This window comes from Homo sapiens, chromosome 14, assembly GCF_000001405.40.
Source record: "Homo sapiens chromosome 14, GRCh38.p14 Primary Assembly".
Classification (NCBI taxonomy): domain Eukaryota; kingdom Metazoa; phylum Chordata; class Mammalia; order Primates; family Hominidae; genus Homo; species Homo sapiens.
In genome coordinates this window covers 25,026,013-25,045,504 of record NC_000014.9, presented here as the reverse complement: position 1 = coordinate 25,045,504, position 19,492 = coordinate 25,026,013, and the positions used below count along the sequence as shown (strand labels likewise).

Here is a 19,492-nt window from a genome sequence, read left to right as displayed (position 1 = left end):
CAAAGCAAGGTTAGTTCCTTATTCTGGTAGAAAATATGGTTTCTACTCAATGCTGTCCAGCTGATTGAATTGCTGAGCAGTTAGCTCAGCAGTTCCGAGAATATGTTGGGTAAAGTGCTGTTGGGGTGGGTATTAATCAGTTTGCTCTTATAAAGGGCAAATCCATTTGGGAAGCACTGCCTATTATTTTTTTTTCCTCTTGTAGAGATTCTCAACATGGGCATCATTATATCAAAGACTATGAGAAGTACTATAGTTAACTATATCAACGACAAAAACTTGGTTACATTTATTCAAGTCAGCGTTTCCCAGAATACAGAATTTTCTGAGGTTATATATGTATCTTTTAGGACTCCATTACTGAGTTAGCACAAACCACAATTTTAATATGTGATTTAATATTGTGGGTGGGATGGTTTCACCTAGTATATCCCGAAAATATAGGGACATTCATTAAGTATGGCTATTAATTAATTAACTCTATAAGTGGTTACTTATTTTTTATTTCAGAGTAGAGAAGAACATTTTAAGCTGTAGTGGCTAAGAAAGTCTCCACGAAGGAGCTGGACTGTGATAATATAAATGGTGGGTAGCACTCTTTGATAGATAAGGGACATTTTAGGTTGGAGGGATAATGAAGCAGGAGTAAAGACTTGCATTTGTGCCTGCATATAAATAATTTTCAGAGCATACAACAAAATGGATTGTGCCCAGCACAGTGCGAGATTTACTGAATCTGTGGTGGTGGTCAAAGAACCTATTAAGCCCAGGCTTGGTTGCTCATGCCTGTAATGCCAGCAGGTCAAGGCTGCAGTGAGCCCTGATCGTGCCACTGCACTCCAGCCTGGGCAACAGAGTAATATCCTGTCCCAAAAACAAAACAAAAAGTTTTTTGATTCTGTAAATTCGTTGAAATAGCAGATGAGTTATAGAGAGGACTGGACAGCTGGTTGCAGGAGTGGAGGCGCAACACTCAGGATGAAAGCAGTCAGGGGTGCCTGGAACTGGACGGGGGCATGGAAGTGTTCCTGTGCCATTAGTCATTAGGGGGATGCAAATCAAAACCACAGTGAGATGCCACTTCACACCCACCAGGACGGCCAGGTGGAGAATGTGGAGAAATTGGAAGCTTCCTACATTAGATTGCTGGTGAATATGTAAAACCGAACAGCCACTTGGGAAAACAGTTTGGCAGTTCCTCAAAATGTTAAATATTGGCTTCCTAATGACCAATTCCCCTCCAAGATAGATACACAAGAGAACTGAAAACATGTTCATGAAAATATGAATATTCATAGCAGCCGTATTCCTTTTTTTTTTTTTTTTTTTTTTTTGAGGCAGAGTCTCATTCTGTCTCCCAGGCTGAAGTGCAGTGGCACAATTTCTCCTCACTGCAGCCTCGACCTCCCAGGCTCAAGCAATCCTCCCACCTTGGGTTCCCGAGTAGCTGGGACTACAGGCATGTGCCACCACCTCCAGTTAATTTTTTTTATTTTTGGTAGAGATAGAGTTTTACCATGTTGCCCAGGCTGATCTTGAACTCCTGGGCTCAAGCAATCCACCTGCCTTGACCTCTGGGATTACAGGCATGAGCCACTGCGCCTGGCCAGCAGCCTTATTCTTAATAGCCCTAAAGTGGAAACAACCCAAATATCCATCGGCTGCTGAATGGATAAACAAAATGTGGTACATCCATGCAAGGAAAACTATTCAAACATAGAAAGGAACAAAATGTTGATTCATGCTACAACATTGATGTACCTTGAAAACATGCTATGTGAAAGAAGCCAGATACAAATGACCATGTATTTACATGATTCCATTATGAAGTGTACGCAATAGGAAAATCCACAGTGACAGAAGTAGATTAGTGGTTGCTAGGGGTTGGAAGAGGGAGAAATGGGGAGAGACTGTTGATGGGTCTGAGGTTTCTTTCTGGGGTGATGAAAATGTTCAGGAATTAGGGTGATGATGGCACAATTTTTTGAATACACTGAAAACTACTGAGTTGCACACTTTAAAAGAGTGAATTTTATGGTATATGAATTATTAAATTTTTTAAAATAGGAAGAAGGTAGTTGGATCCAAAGGAGAGTTTTTTGTTTTTTGTTTTTTTAAAAAAAAATGATGAGACAACTCCAGAAATAGGGTTTCAGTTTCAGGTTAAATTTTCTGCTATCGGGAAAAAATATCTGGATTATTCGTTTATCCTTGTTTGTCTTTGGCTTTCTAGAATGCTCTTGTTACTCTCTCATTCGAAAGTTTACTACCTGAATTAAAAGGGTTTTGTTCCAAGTTGCTCCTGAGTCAGTGGGATCGTTTTCATGGCAAGTGCCTTGTCATCTTCATATCTGAGTGTGTTTCTGGATTTTCCTCCAGAGACAAATTCCCTATTCAGGCTTCCTTGTGATCCACCAGAGGGCATGCTGACTCTGCAGTTTCAGTTTAGCTTCTGCCTTAAGATCTGACTGTGATCGACATTTTAGTGTCATCTTCTAATTTGTTTGTAGAACTCTGTCAAGACTGCCTCCTCCCTCTTTTTAAAAAATCTCTATTTAAAGAGGGTTCTTGTGGTGGTCAGCATTACGTGAACATCAACGTATTTGGGTCCAAGAGGCATGATACTAAATGAGGTTTAACACCGCTGGAGCTGACACAGTTGGCCCTTGGGTAGACATTCTTCTCTCTTTAACAGTGTGGTGCCACAGTGCCTCTTGAGATTTTGTTAGAATGCTGGTTCTGATTCAGTAGGTCTGGGATGGGGCCTGAGATTCTGCACTTCTAACAAGCTCTCCCTGATGCAGATGCTGCTGTCGAGTGGATCATACTTTGAGTAGAAGCTGATACAGTTTAGAGAAGATGGCTTCGGAATGGGACAGGGCCGAGTGTGAAACATAGCTCTACCATTAACGTGTGCGTGACCTTGCGCAAGTTAATTAACATCTGCGCCACAGTTTCTTATCTGTATGATCAGAGTAAGACCGAGCAGGTAGAAGTGTGCCTAGCATCATGTGCCTGAAATGCTAAATGCTATTGACCTTCTCCTGCCCACAAAGATCAAGAATTCTGTGGTAAGGAGTAAGGAACAAAATACATGACTGGGATTCTCCCACCTGGAGCCTGTGCCCCTTGCCCTCACCAGCCTCTGCTTCCTCTGTTGCTTTTGGGACTGGCACTAATCCCGGCTGGCTTGCCTTCTTATGGGATTGGCATGAGGACATTATGAGCTGTAAGATGAAGCACCTCTGTAAAGTATATGCTATTACTCTACAGTGCTGGCTTGGGGAATTACATCCTCATAGGTTACCCAAGGTGAGTTGGTGGCTTGTTAAATTTGTTCTGTTTCTGTTTCGTTTATCATCATTTGAAGTGGAAGGAAATAGGAGATTGTGTTTACATTTCAATTAAGTTGATGGATCCTCTTTCTTCTGGGAAACAATACGTACAAATAGTTTTTAAGAATTAAACAAAGCCACAAGTGCAATAAATCAAACTAGTTTCCAGTCTCCACAGCCTGATGTTTATTGCTTTCCTAAGGGTAGTAATTGTACCCTTTGAGACCCTGTTCTACCTTCTTGTTTGACTCTTGCATGGATTGTCAGGTTGGGGTCTTTAACGCCTGATGACTTTGAAGAATGAGATTGTTTACTTTGTTACAATGCCAGGGCAGAGCATTTGAACTGCTGTTGCATCGACATCAGGTAATCAAAGATAAGATATTTGGGTTGAAGCCTAATACACTAGGCTTCACTGGGACTCACTGCGCTTCTGGAAGGTAGAGGTGGCCATGTCATTTGGAAGTGAGAATTATCTGATTCCTCTGGCAGGTGAATATGTGTGCTGCAGTCTAGTCACTTTCCATAACCGCTCTGGTGACTAAGCTTGGTCAGATAGGGCGTATATCAGTGAGCTGTTTTTTGTTTGTAGGCTGCCTAGAAATATGTTGACTTTGTACAGTCTAAGCTGAAAGCCAGCAGTAACTGGTGGTTAAGAAGTTAATATTATTCTTGAAAAATTTAATCTACCCTATCATTAAAGAGCAATAAGGAAGCAGTCCTGCTGCTGAGAAGGAGCTGGGAATATGAAGCTGGGTGTTCCTGAAGCAAGTTGTTTTAAGATTAAATCCTTATCCACTATAACAATATACATTTTTTATTTTTATTTATTTATTTATGTATTTATTTATTTGAGATGGAGTTTTGCTCTTGTTGCCCAGGCTGGAGTGGAATGGCACGATCACATGCTCACTCTGCCTCCTGGGGTCAAGAGATTCTCCTGCCTCAGCCTCCTGAGTAGCTGGGATTATAGGCGCCCACCACCACTGCCCACTAATTTTTTGTATTTTTAGTAGAGACTGGGTTTCACCATGTTGGCCAGGCTGGTCTCGAACTCCTGACCTAGGTGATCCACCCACCTCGGCCTCCCAAAGTGCTGGGATTACAGGCGTGAGCCACCGCGCCTGGCCCCGTTTTTTCTTTTTAAACTGTCTACCTTGAATATAGGAAGTTGGCACTTATATAAGGAGCTTAAAGCTAATAAAGTAGACATTTCTCCCAATTTCACTACTGAGAAATGAGACTTCAGATCCTTTTTTGTCATTGGCAACCACATACTTACTGGTCTATCTAATAGTTGATTTTAAAAGATGGAACAGGAATCTTGAATGAAGACATCGGCTTTAGGGACAGCCTTTGCTTTCATTCCCCACTGGATTGTGAACTCCTTCAAAGACAAGGATCTTCATTTTTGTATCCCAGAGGATACAAACTATGCGTGTCTGTCATACAGTAGAGAATCAATAAACATATGTTGAGCTGCTTTTCTTCTGTGATTCCCCTTCACTATCTAGTCTATTATTTTTTGTTTCTTTATCAGAGAGAAACCAACTCCATGACATAAAAATAATAAATTTTTATTTAATACTACCTATACATTATCATATGCTAACATAATACATGGTTCTAAGCACTTTACAAATGTCGCTTCCTTTAATCCTACAACACACTCTCAGAGGTAGGTACTGTTACTTATCTCTATTTTACACTTGAAAAGACTGAGATAGAGAAAGGTGAAGTGACTTCTGTCTAAGGTCCTGCAGTACTATGTAGCAGCCTCAGTAGACTTTTAGCTCTCAAATATTACCCTCTTTTCCTGAGTTGCAGAGAAATGAGAGCAGACATGCCTTTCTACCTTCAATTCTAACCACCTCCCTTGTCCTCTGCCTCCTTTCTGACCACCCCCAAGTTCCAGAATAATGTGACTTGAGTTTGGAAAATAAAGTTACAGGTGTAAAACATGGCTCATTCATATGGCCCCAGGCTGGGAGTGAGGCCATTCACACAGGAGCCATTTAGGTTGAACTGTATGACCTTTGCAAGGCTGTGACCTCTAGCCCTAGGCCTCTGAGTTTGTCAGGTCACCATATGCCCCAGGTCGGTGCCTCTAAACCTTTATGTACGTGTGGTCACCTGGGTATCCTGTTGAGATACAGATTCTGGCTAGGCGCAGTGGCTCAAGCCTGTAATCCTAGCACTTTGGGAGGCCGAGGCAGGCGGATCACTTGAGGGCAATTGTTCAAGACCAGCCTGGCCAACATGGTGAAATCCTGTCTCTACTAAAAATAAAAAAAAATTAGCCGGGCATGGTGGCAGGCGCCTGTAATCCCAGCTACTCGGGAGGCTGAGGCATGAGAATTGCTCGAACCCAGGAGGCAGAGGTTGCAGTGAACTGACATCGCGCCACTGCACTCCAGCCTGGGCAACAGAGCGAGACTCCGTCTCAAAAAAAAAAAAAAAAGGATGCAGATTCTGATTCACTGGGTCTGGGGTGGGTCTTGGGATTCTGCGTTTCTGACAGCATTCCAGGAAATGAAGAGGGCTAATCCTTGGGCCAATGCTGTAGAGGAGCCAAGTCTCCGTGGGTCCAGCCTTAGTGTTCCAAGCACTTTCTTGCTTGAAGAAGGCCTAATTCCTAACCTGGGACCCAGAGAGAGACATAAGATATCCAGAGAGATATGCACCAAGAAACTGCAATTTATACAAAGACAGTCAGAAAGCAGCTGAAGACAGAATGAGAGAGAAACTAAGTAAAAGAAACTTGATGCCTCCAAAATGAAGAGTATGCCTCATTTCCATATGTGAACTGAAAAGCTCTCCACTTTTGAAATAAAGGCTTACTATAGAGCAGCCCTGGTAATAGAACTACAAGACTTATAATAACTTCCTGTTTGAGTTGAAATGAAAACTCATAAAGAATCTATGCTATTAACCCCCTAATTTATACTTTTGTATTCTTTTATGTTGTATTTTGTATTTTATGTTGGACTTCTTTTTTAAAATTTTGTATTTATTTTTAATTGAAAAATAATTGTGTATACTTATTGTTGTACAACATGATGTTTTGATATATGTATATGTTGTAGAATGACTAAATCAAGCTAGTTAACATATGCATTACCTCCTATACTTATCATTTATTTGTGGTGAGAACATTTAAAATCTACTCTGTTAGCAATTTTGAAGTATAGAATACACTATGTCAACTATAATCATGGTGTTGTACAGTAGGTCTAAATGTATTCATTTCTCCTATCTAACTGAAAATTTGTATCTTTTGACCAACATCTCCCTGGTCCCTCCATCTCCTCCCCTGGTAACTACCATTATTTTTTTTTCTTTTTTTTAAAAAAAAGCTTTTAGTTTCGAGGGTACACGTGTAGGTTTGTTATATAGATAAACACAAGTCATGGGACTGTGTTGTACAGATTATTTTGTCGTCCACGTACTAAGCCTAGTGCCCAATAGTTATTTTTTCTGCTCTTCTCCCTCCTCCTACCCTCTGCCATCAAGTTGGCCTAATGTCTATTGTTCCCTTCTTTGTAACAACCACTCTAATCTCTGCTTCTAAGGGTTCCTATGTCTGACTTCTTTCCCTTGATTTTGTGAGATTCATCCACGTTGTGTATGCAGCAGTAGTTTATTTATTTTCATTATTGGATAGTATTCCTTTGTGTGAACATAAATTGCTGATGGCAGATGTTTGAATTGTTTCCAGTTTTTGAGTATTATGAATAATGCTGTTGTGAACATTTATGTGTATGTCTTTTGATGAACATGGGTTTGCTTTTCTGATGGTGGGTGTGTGTCTACAACTGCTGATTTCTAAGATGTGAATATGTTCAGCTTTAGTGAGTACAGCCAGTTCTCCAGTGTGGCTCTTCACACTCCTATCAGGTATGAATAAGAGTTCCATTGTTCCACATTCTTTGCCAACACTTAGTTTGATAAGTCATTTTCATTTTAGCCATTCTGATGTTTGTATGGGGGTCTGTCATTATGATTTTAGCTTGTCTTTCGCTTATCACCATTTGAAGTTTAGTATCTTTCCGTGCCTCTTGTTTATGTTTCAGTTGTGTGTGTGAGTGTGTGTGTGTGTGTTCGTATTTTTAAAAACACAATGAAAGTTCCACAGAACATTGGTAAAAAGTCTTGAAATCTGTAGTCATGGGGGTTACCTGTCACTGATATCTGATTTTATCCTCAAATGTTTCTGGGGAAGGAGGACATGAAGTGGTATATAGAGGTATAAAACCCTTTAGCAAGGAAACTTGCTGAAAAGTTGGAGCCAGCATAGATGGCCCAGGGCAATTGTAAAGTCAGAGACCACTTGAAAGTGTAAAACCATTTGATCTCCAGATGAGTTTGCCTTTTGTAGAAGTCCCTCTGGAAGATAGTAAACCACCTTAAAAAGTATTGCTGAAAACATTTTTTGGAATTGCTCTAAACATACATACTTTTGAATACTTTAGGTGGTTTTAAAATGACCTTTGAGCATGTACAGTGATTTTGGGAAATAGCAAGACTTCTCAGAGCCCAGTCCCACTGGAAGGAAGGACTAATGCCATGGGTGACAGACAAACAAAAAACCCTAAGCATTATTTATAACACTTGCCTGTAAAGGAATGCAACTTCCTTTCTTGAGTGAAGACTGAAGACATTAGCAGGGAGGGAGAAGATGCCATTTGAATGATGTCTTTTAATCTGTTTTGAGTATTATCATTATACAGGTGAAAAGTCAGGTTTAGAGAGCAAAAGAGAACATGATTTAAAAGTCAAACCTTACTGTCTTGCCTTTTCCTTTCCCTACCCTGCCTCTCCTCTGACAAGTGTTGGAGGAATTAACAAAACTCTGTTGCAGCCAGAAAAACAAGTGCTGATAGTGAAGTTCTGGTTTCCATTCCTGTCCTATTTCAGAGTCCCAGGAGCTCTCCGGGCCTCTGTCAAATGGGGCTCTGTGGAGACAGGAGTCCTAGGTGGCCTGTGTCAGGCTTCAGGACACTCCTGTTTCCCAAACCTGGTTCCTGCGGTCCTGCTGATCTTTGGAGCTCTTCAGGGCCTTTCAGGGTCCTGCCACATTCTGCCAGGACTGTCTTACTGTAGGCTTTGCTGTGTCTGCTCCTTTTTCTTCCTGACTGGCAAATAGTTACCCAGAAAATACTTTAAAGATATGCTGATGAATAATGTCACTGTTGGAAATATATTCCGTGTATATTCCGTGTAAAAAGCAGGTCTTTTTCAGGGTGGATACTTACATAAAATCTGACCAGTAGAGGAAGGGTATAGCTGATTTCTTTTTTTTTTTTTTTTTTTTGAGACGGAGTCTTGCTCTGTCGCCCAGGCTGGAGTGCTGTGGCGCCATCTTGGCTCACTGCAAGCTCCGCCTCCTGGGTTCACGCCATTCTCCTACCTCAGCCTCCTGAGTAGCTGGGACTACAGGCGCCTGCCACCACGCCCGGCTAATTTTTTGTATATTTTTAGTAGAGACGGGGTTTCACTCTGTTAGCCAGGATGGTCTCGATCTCCTGACTTCACGATCGGCCCGCCTCAGCCTCCCAGAGTGCTATGATTACAGGCGTGAGCCACCGTGCCGGGCCAGCTGATTTCTTTAATGTTCATTTATTGCTGAACTTAAAATCTCCTATTAGTTTTCCCCAAGACCCAGTGGGTTAATGTTCTTTTGTGTACAGTAAAGACTTTCAGAAATTTTTCCTGAAAGGAATGCCCTGGGCAGGTAGCTTTCAGATAGACAGTGGGGCATTTGGCTGCCCCAAGGGTCCGGAAGAAAGACATATGTGCTTGGCCATCCCAGAGACCTGTTCTCACCCTTTTGGGATCATGGACCCCACCACACTAGCCCTCTTCCACTGACACTGGGAATATTATCTATAAGCTGAGGATGTAGAAAGCTGCAATCCACAACCTGTATTTTTTTTTTTTTTTTTTTTTTTTTTTGATGGAGTCTTGCTCTGTTGCCTAGGCTGGAGTGCAGTGGCACAATCTCGGCTCACTGTAACCTCCGTCTCCCGGGTTCAAGTGTTCTCCCGTCTCAGCCTCCTGAGTAGCTGGGATTATAGGCACACGCCACCATGTCTGGCTACTTTTTGTATTTTTTGTAGAGACGGGGTTTCACCATGTTGTCTGGGCTGGTCTCGAACCCCTGACCTCAGGTGATCCACCCACCTCAGTCTCCCAAAGTGCTGGGATTACAGGCGTGAGCCACCGTGCCCAGCCCACAACCTGTTTTTCTGGCTCAAAGTAGTAGCAAAGAAACCTCTGTGTTTCTCCTGCGACTACATAGAAGAATGCTTTCTTCATTTGGTAGTTTCTTTATTTTTAACACCTATAATCCTGCACAGTCTTGGTTTTTACTGCAGAGTACTTGGCCGTGGGTAACCAGATTGCTAAATTTCCTATACAGATTATAATTTTATTTTGTTCATTTTCACATAGTTTTCCCTGGATAAAATGAGGTAGCTGAGAAAAAAAAAATTCTGAGGACATTTTAATGAAAACTTCCTCTGGTAAGATATTCATTTTTATGCCACATTTAATTCCTGTAAAGAATTCCAGGTGTCACTAAGAAGCAGTTGAACCCAGTGGCTGTGAATATCTGGCGATCTAAACTCATTTTCTTATCAGATTATATTGTCCTATACACCTGTGTAGGTTGTATATGTCAGATCTGGACTTGGCTGGTGGACGTTTGAACTTATTGACTTCCTGCCAAAAGAAAGAAACGTATAAATGGTGCTTTGTACTTTGAATTTCATGGTGTCCTGAGTAAACACAAAATATACATTGTGACAGGAGGAGTAAAGGACCGCCCACATCCTTATTTTTTGAGTGGGTGTAGCTAATGATTAGTTCCTGGATATGTAACTAGGATGTAGGTCAGGTCCCATTGTCATCTGCAGCAGAGGTACAGTAAGCACTGCCTCCCTATAGATGGCTGTGTTATCTCACAGGTACAACTGTCTAAAGTTCTTTCTATGAGAATTTTTTTTTTTTTTTTTTGGAGACAGAGTCTCACTCTTGTCACCCAAGCTGGAGTGCAATGGTGCGATCTTGGCTCACTGCAACATCCGCCTCCTGGGTTCAAGTGATTCTCCTGCCTCACCCTCCCGAGTAGCTGGGATTATAGGTGCACGCCTCCATTCCCAACTAATTTTTGTATTTGTAGTAGAGACGGGGTTTTACCATGTTGGCCAGGCAAGTCTCAAACTCCTGACTTCGGGTGATCTGCCCCCCTTGGCCTCCCAAAGTGCTGGGATTATAGGTGTGAGCCACCACACCCGGCCAAGAAGTTTTCTAAGAAGTTTTTAATAAGCTTCTTGGTTTAGGAATAAGGAGCTCACTTCAGTGAATATCTGAGGCTTCCTCTATGTGATATTGATTAAAATATTAATAGCTGTGCATATGTAGTGTGCTGGACACTGTGCTAAGGACATTTTGTGGATTCTTTCAACTCTTTTAATTAGGTGCCGTTACTAGCCCTGTTTTACAGAGTCAGAAACCAAGGCTCAGAGAAGTTGTCCTTTGGTCCCAGGGTCACACATCCCATCCATGTGACTCCTAAGTTCAGGCTCTTGACCACTGCACTGTGCTGTACTGAGGCAGTGCGTGACTAGAGGGTATGGTCAGAACCTGGGGCCATTCTTGAGAAACTGGATTTCAAAAGAAAGAAGATCAGACGTTAATTAATAAGAAGTGCATCAGTATGAGCGACTGCATTTTAAATATGCTCAGCTTACGTGAGGGATGGGGAAATTGTAGCAGATTTTGAGAAGAAACTGGGTTTTGAAGGAGAGAAATGCCATTGACATTTAAAGGAGGGGAAAGATATTCAGCTTCATGTAAGGATGATGACCTACATCATGGAAAGGCCTCCACAGAGGGATATGGTTCTTGTGTGGGGGTGTTAGGGGTCAAGTTTACCTGGAACAACTCTTTCAGTAGGTTTAGTTGGTTTTTCTTTCAGTAAGTGTTTGGGTATTATTACCGGTACCTCCTTCCCCTACCTTTATCAAAAGCAAACATACAGGGCCAAGCTTCTATGCAGCACCCTACTTCTTTCCTTGTCCGTTTCATGTCCAGGCTTGGAACAGGAGAAAGGACAGACAAAGATATTATAGTTTCTCTCCCCTTCCTCAAATAGATGCTGTGTCATAGTGCTATTTTGGGGTGAAGGGACCCCAGGAAATTCCTGGTTTAAAATCCTGCAGGGCCATATACCTGCATTTTCTCAGGCACTTTTTTCATTTTGTTTTGTGTTAAACTTAGATCTCTGTCTTTTCATTCATTCAGCAAAAGAGTCTACGTGTGTAACCGATTTTCATGGTGAGCAAAATCAGACAAGGTTTCTGCTTTTATAGAATGTTTTTAAAGGAGCTAAACTAATTGCATAAAATGTTACATGACAACTGTTGTAAGTGCTCCAGGGGGGTACATGTTTGAGGGAGTTTGGCCTAGTCAAATAAATTAGGGCAGTTTCCTAAGGAAGTCATGATGAGCTGAGATCTGAAGGATAAGTAGAGTTAAAGAGGGAGGGAGATGGCATTATGGAGGTGATGGAATGTGCAAAGGCCCTGAGGTAGGAAGGACCTTGGTATGAGCAAGGGGCAGAAGCCCTCTATGGCTGGAAGTGGAGGATAATGGGTATGAGAAAGTATTTTCTCAAGAGTCACCAGTGTTCCTAACATGGATTTGAAGTGATTAGATTGACAAGATTCATGTTTTTTGCAATAAAGGAAGTGGATGAATTGATTGTGGAAGTCCAAGAGAAGATACGGTGGACCAGTTTAGAAGTTTTTGCAGTAGTTTAGGAAGAAATGATGATAGTCTGACCAGGGTGGTAAAGATGGAGCGAACCGGGTGGAGGTATGGAGAAATAGAAAGAAGTGATATGACTGGATGTGGTAATGGGTTGAAAGTACAGGGTGAGAAACAGGGAGATGCCAGAGTTGGCTCTTCAGTCTCTAGCTTGCATGACTGTGTGATGGTGGTGTCATTGCATGGACCGTCATGCCTCCCCAGGTAGACTATAGTCAAGATCTTTTTCCAATTGAAGTTTGAATCCTCACAGTATTACTTATAATAGCCACTCATGTACCTTTTGTTTGATGGATTAGAACAGGAGGAGTTTCTTTAGAAAAGTGGTGTGTGTGCTTGGTGGGAAACAGCAGTTAGTGTACCAATGAGTGTGGCTGGGGCAAGAGAAAAGATTCATAGTTGTAGTACAACCCCCAATGCATTTCATCATATAGAGATGTGCCTGCAATTTTCAGGAAGCACTTACAAGTTATTTTGAACTTCTCAGCACTTAGAAATGTGTCTTTTTCCCTTTATGCTAGACTCAACCCTTCTGATCCTCTGTTTATCTATCTGTATGATGAGCCTAGTAACACTAACCTTCTGAGGTGTCTGTGAGGGTTATGTATTTGGTAACTTTGTGAAATGTGAAGGATTTTACATTGATCGAGGGACTCTGTGAAATCTGTTCTTATGTTCTCCTGTTGTCCTCCCCACCACTAGTGGGAGCTGCTGCTCAGAGGGCATAGGCCCTGTGGTGACAGTTGGCTCTTGGTAGGTGAGGCTTCCCCGGACGGGTTGAGTGCTCCTGCTTAGGTAAATGCCTGTGTTTCTTTTTTCCACTCGATCCTTCCATAAAGTGATTGAATCAGTGGATGAGTTTTTGGTTAATGTGACTGAGGACTGGGGGAGAGATGAGTTAAAGATAGGTTAGATCTAGTTTCTTTTTTATTTGAGATTGTTTTACATTTCAGGCCTTGGGGTGCTCAAGTCACAACCCCAGGGCTGAGTGTGGACTGAGGACAAATGTTGTCTTGATCTTGATCCTCTGTGTCGAGCGATGTCGGATGATGGAACTCACCACCAACCTTAAAACCAGAGAGAGGCTAGTTCCAGTGTGGTGATAGTCCTGGGGATCAGTACTGCTGCAGTGCTTTCTCTCTGCAGAATAGAATGCCTTCGCGGTGTTGGAGACCATGCGCAAAGTGGCTGGTCAGTCTGTTTTCCTCCTGTGTGCCTCTGTTGTCTTTATTAAGGTTTTATATTTCAAGCCTCTTTATTTTTTCCATCTCTGTCACTTCAAACTTTCTATCTTCCTGTCTGTATTTCTTTCTGTATTTACCACCATATTTCTTCTGTATTTTCCACTCCCCACCTTCTCTTGGAATTCAGTGATACTATTGTCCATTTCTTCCTTTAGTTGGAAGCAGGGCATTTCTTAGGCTCTTCGTTGGGGTCCAAGAGTGACCTCGGGATATTTCTGCTCTGCTGTGCTGGTCTGTTGTCCTAAGCATGCTGTTGATAAACATGTTACTGTCTTAAAATAACTAGAGATGGTGGGCAATAATAGCATGTGCCAAATTATCTTCATTTGTCCTGTGCATTAGGATATATAGAACTGAGCAAAAAAAAAAAAAAAAATTGCTTGGGAGATACATACAGCCATTCTTCAAAAATATTTATTACCACTCATTTTTATTTTGTAAGTTTGCATTTGCATAAGAATAAAAGTTTACTCTCATGCTAAGACGATTAAAGCCAATTTATTATCCTGTATCTTTATTTTCTTTGATGTTTTAAAAAGCTTTTATTTTTTAGTTGAAACAGAGGAGTAGTCTGTCTCTAGAAAGAATCTATTCTATGTATATTGCAATATCAATTGTTTTTGAGCAGGAAAAGGCTTTGGATATCTAACCCCTTTGTCATCTCTTCCTCCTGTACTCTCATCTTTCTGCCTGCCTCTGTTTTACAGGTGAGAAAACTGAGGCAGTACAATTCTACCATAAATGAGTAGTAAACTCAGAATTCTTAATTCCAATCTCTCGATTCTCCAGCTCATTGTGATTTTCTAGAACTTAAAATATTTCTAAGACGTTTCATATTAAAGCCTATTTTTCAGTTTAAGGTCATTCTCTCTTAGAAGTTGTTTTCTTGCTTTTTCGTAACCAAAGCTTTAATTGGTTCAGTACAAGGGGAGAACCAAGTGATGGCTTTGTCTTGTTCTAAAATCAATGTAAAGATTTATAGGTCTATAAATATTTACAAAATTTGGCAATATTGTGTGTATGAAGAAATAATTTCGAAGCGTACCAATATTTTATGTCTGGTCTGGACAAATTTCCACTAGCAATAGATTGAATTTCTGTTGAAATATACTGTCCTTTCTTGGTTTTTATGAGAGGTGTATTCTGGAACTTGTGATTTTTTTTTTTTCTTTTCATTCTGAGTTTGTGAAGGAAATCGGGATGTGTCTAATTAGTTATTATGTAGGGTGTTAGGCAATTTCCATAACAGTTAATTTAAATCTACCTTAATTAAAAATAACATGTTGTATAGCAATGGGTAGGAATTTATGACTCAAGATGAAGCCAGGCCGTAGCAATTTCAGAAAGCATGAGGATTACAGCTTTAAAGGCCGAGGAGGGACAGATAGGAACCCATCAATGCTGTCAGCCTTTATTGTGCCCTGGTGTTTAGGTGGATATTGAAGATATATGTAACTGGTGATCTGTGAGCTACCAATTTGCCTTTAAAATCTGTCTGTTTAAAATCAGTTCTCCTGTTCCCTTGCCCAACACAGTAAGCATTTTGTTTTCTGTATTGCCCCTCAAGATGAAGAACCCTTGAGGGAATAGTGTCTTGTCCTCCACTCAAGGTCTTAGAGTCATGATTAATTGGCAAATATTGGCCTCAAAAAAGGGCAAAAGAGAGTTATTAGAGTCCCCAAGGCTTGTAGTAGAATAAAGGGTGCTGGGAAGGAAGTGGCCAGGCTCTCCTGGTGAGTTGATGAGCACCTTGGCTTCCTTTTCCCATTCAGTGGCCCAGGCCCTGCCTTTTCCCCTCATATTGGGCATGGGGTACTGTCCTGGATGCTGTGAGCAGACAGGCATGGAAGACCAGACTTTGGGGGCTAGGCCTAGTCACCTTTGTTACTCCAGCCTGTTGAATTGCTCTATCCAATTGCTATCTAATTGCAATCCCAATGCTATCTAATTGGCAAGGGATGCCATTGTAGTCATTTGATTTTCCTTCTTGAAAGCTCTGGGATCTTTCCTGAAAGATCCAGCTTCTTATATGTAAAATGGGATGGTAACCTTATGAGATATGTTCTATTATTAATAGGGGGATTAATTGAGACTTTCAAAGTGTTCAGCTCCCTGCCTTGCATACCGTGAGGACTCAGTAGGATAAATGGTAGCTATTGCTATTATTATTGGCCTCTGGTGTGTGATAGAATCAAGTAGTGTCTGTTATAAAGGTTCTGAGGCAGAATTATCCAGCTCTTTGAAATAAGAACTTTTAGCTTAACTACCAAATGAGTGTCCAGGTGTTAGGATTCATTGCAAATGGGATTATACATTCTTTTTCCTCTTCCTAATTATGTGGTAAGTCTTTTCAGGAGGGAAAGCACCTACCATTTTCTCAGGGAGAGCTTTATACTCCCGCCAGCACTTGGTTCTAAAAGAAATTTTTCACATGAAGCATTATATAGGAGTCTTTGTGGTTGTTTAAAATAATACATTTATATGCAGGCATTCCTCAGAGATATTGCAGGTTCAGTTCCAGACAACAACAATAAAGGAAATATTGCAATAAAGTAAGTCACACAAATTTTTTGTTTCTTGGTGCTTATAAAAATTATGTTTACACTATACTGAAGTCTATTAAGTGTCCAGTAGCATTATGTCTGAAAAAATACATACCTGAATTAAAAATACTTTATTGCTAAAAAATGCCAATGATCATCTGAATCTTCAGCAAATAGTAATCCTTTTGCTGGTCGAGGGTCTTGCCTCAACGTGGATGACTGCTGCCTGGTCAGAATGGTGGTGCTGAAGGTTGGGGTAGCTGTGGCAATTTCTTAAAATAAGATAGCAGTGAAGTTTGCTGCATTGATTGACTCTTCCTTCCGTGTAAGATTTCCCTGCAGCTTGTGATGCTGTTTGTTAGCATTTTACCCACTGTAGAACTTCTGTCAAAATTGGAATCAATCCTTTCAAACTCTGCTGCTGCTGCTTTATCACCTCAGTTTATGTAATATTCTAAGTCCTTTGTTGTCGCTTCAACAATGTTCACAGCATCTTCACCACCTCAAGAAACTACTTTCTCTGCTCATCCATAAGAAGCAACTCCTCATTCATTCAAGTTTTATCATAAGATTGCACAACGTAGTCACATCTTCAGGCTAAACTTCAGATTCTAGGTCTCTTGCCATTTCCACCACATCTGCAGTTGCTTTCTCTACTGAAGTCTTGAACCCTTCAAAGTCATTTATGAGGTTTAGAATCAGCTTCTTCCAAGCTCGTGTTAATGTTGATATTTTGACCTCCCCCCATGAATCACAAATATTTGTAAAGGCATCTAGAATGGTGACTCCTTTTAGAAAATTTTGAAGTGACTTTGACCAGATACATCGGAGGAATCACTGTCTATGGCAGCTATAGCCTAATGAAAGGTATTTCTTAAATAATAGGACTTGAAAGTAGAAATTACCACTTGATCCATGGGCTGAAGAATGGATGATTAGACATGAAAACAACATTAATCTTTTTGTACCTCTCCATTAGAGCTCTTGGATGACCAGGTACATTGTCAATGAGCAGTAATATTTTGAAAAGATTTTTTTTTTTTCTGAGCAGTCAGTCTCAACAATGAGCTTAAAATATTCAGTAAGCCATACTGTGAACAGATGTGGTGTCATCTAGGCTTTGTTGTTCCATTGATAGAGCACATGCAGAATAGATTTAGGATAATGCTTAAGGGCCCTAGGATTTTCAGAATGGTAAATAAGCATTGGATTCAACTTAAAGTCACCAGCAGCATTAGCCTCTAACAAGAAAGTCATCCTGACCTTTGAAGGTTTGCAGCAAGGCCTTGACTTCTCCTCTGTACCTATGGAAGTCCTAAATGGCATTTTCTTCCAATATAGGGCTGTTCATCTACATTGAAAATCTGTTGTTTGGTGTAGCTGATAACCTTAATGGTAACTGATAACCTTAATCAGTTATCTTAGCTAGATCATCCGCATAACTTGCTGCAGCTTCTACATCAGCACTTGCCACTTCACCTTGCAATTTTATGTCATAGAGATGGCTTCTTAAACCTCATGAACCAACCTCTCCTAGCTTCCAGCTTTTTTTCTTCTGCAGCTTCATCACCTCTTTCAGCCTTCGTAGAATTGAAGAGAGTTAGAGCCTTTCTCTGGATTAGGCTTTGGCTTAAGGGAATGCTGTAGCTGGTTGGCTGGTTTGATCTTGCATCCAGACTGGTCACATTTTCTTCGTATCAGCAATAAGGATGTTTTTCTTTCTTATTCATGCATTCAGCAGAGCAGTATTTTTAATTTCCTTCAAGAAGTTTTTTGCATTCCCAACTTGGCTGTTTGGGGCAAGAGGCCTAGCTTTCAGCCTGTCCTGGCTTTCGACATGCTTTCTTCACTAAGCGTAATCGTTTCTAGCTTTTGATTGAAAGTGAGAGACATGAGAATCTTCCTTTATTTGAACACTTAGAGTCAATTGTAGGATTATTAATTGGCCTAATTTCAATATTGTTGTGTCTTAGGGAATAGGGAGGCCTGAGGCAGGGGCATGGCTGGTGGGAGGAGCAGCTAGAATACATACATTTATTGATAGAGTTCAGACGAAGGGATAGAGACCGGGACAGGGCTGGTGGGTGGAGCAGCCAGAATACGTGCATTTATTGATTAAGTTCACTGTCATTTTTGGGCATGGTTTGTGGCACTCCAAAACAAGTGCAATAGAAACATATAAGAGCATTGATCACAGATTACTGTAGCATATAATAATGAAAGATTTTTAAATATTGCAAAATTATCAAAATGTGACCCAGAGACATGGAGTGGGCACATGCTGTTGGAAAGATGCCGCTGATAGACTTGCTTCACACTGGGCTGCCACAAACCTTCAATTTGTAAAATATAAAATATCTGTGAAGTGCAATAAAGCACAATAAACAAACTATGCTTGTATCTATGCATTACGGGTTCTATTTTGATATGGAAGCAAGTCAAATTGGTCTGCAACAGCTTGATTTTCGTGTCTGAATGCCATTGTTTGTATGTGTACATTTCTGTCCCCGCAATTGGGAAGCCATTTAGAAATCTGATAGGAGTTAGCTCCTAACAATATGTATGTATGCATGCATGTATGCATGCTTGCAATCAGTCTTTCATTCATTTCCTGCTCTGTGTATTCACTGCTTTTCTCACCTGGTGGTTCCATGCTAGATTCAGAAAGAACTTTTTTTTTGTTTTAATGGTGTAAAAGGCTGTAACAGTTGCTAGTGATGATGGCCATTTTTATGTGCCTCTGAACCTCTTTTTCTCAGAATACTTTATTACCTGTCTGCTGCTGTTTGGGTGTGTGTCCACTTTTAATTTGTTGCCTAAATATGGGTCAGTCCTGCCATACTGAATTTCTGAGCAAACAAGAAAAGGGATGTGAAAAAGTTATGTATGCAAATAAGGTGGTATGGAGCCACCATCCTCTCTCTAATTCCAAAATCTTAAAGGCCCTGAAAGCTTTTCTAACTCACTTGGTGGTAAGATCGGACTTGAACAAATGTGAGTCTATTTATGTTCTTCATGTATCTAATTTAGTGGGATCATTTGTAAGTTTTGCTGCAGCAGTATTACCGTGTTTGATTATGGGGTGCTGACCTAGATCCTACTTGGAGCATAAGGTGTACGTACCATATTACCTTTCTAAAAAGTCAAGAATGCTGAATTCCAAAGCACACCTGGCTTTAGGGGATTTGGATAAGAGATGTGGGCCTGTAGTATTTTTATTTAGGTCTCTAAGCTTTTTTTTCAGTTGACAACCTTCCCTTGAGATTCTCTTTTTGGCACCGTCTTTTTGAGGTATGCAAGTAAGTATCTCCCTTGCCTGTCACTCAGGGAACATTTACTGACTGCTGTAGGTTGGGCTTTATACTAAGGATGGGGGCTACTGATAAGAATAAGACATTTATCCTCTTTCTCCTACAGAAGTTCAGTGCTCCATTATAATGTGCAAGGTGCTATAATAGCAGTTGGTGGAGTCCTAAGTTTGGCAGGATAATCATAGCCAGGAACTCCACCAACAATGTAAAGTCAATGTAAAGGCAAA

At 40.8% G+C, this 19,492-nt stretch overlaps 1 protein-coding gene across 20 annotated transcripts in view; it reads left to right on the top strand.

Moving 5' to 3' along the window:
• Positions 1-19,492, top strand: part of STXBP6 (syntaxin binding protein 6) — a 240,694-nt gene that overhangs the window by 4,643 nt on the left and 216,559 nt on the right. For 5 of the 20 annotated variants that reach the window (NM_001394413.1, NM_001394411.1, NM_001394419.1 and 2 more), the window contains exon 1: positions 12,921-12,962. The exons of 14 other annotated variants lie outside the window; for them this stretch is intronic. The gene's annotated coding sequence lies outside the window, so the exon portion shown is untranslated. Of the gene's footprint in view, positions 1-564; positions 586-12,920; positions 12,963-19,492 lie in introns of those variants that run through there. One more of the 20 variants, XM_017021241.2, reaches the window with a different exon arrangement.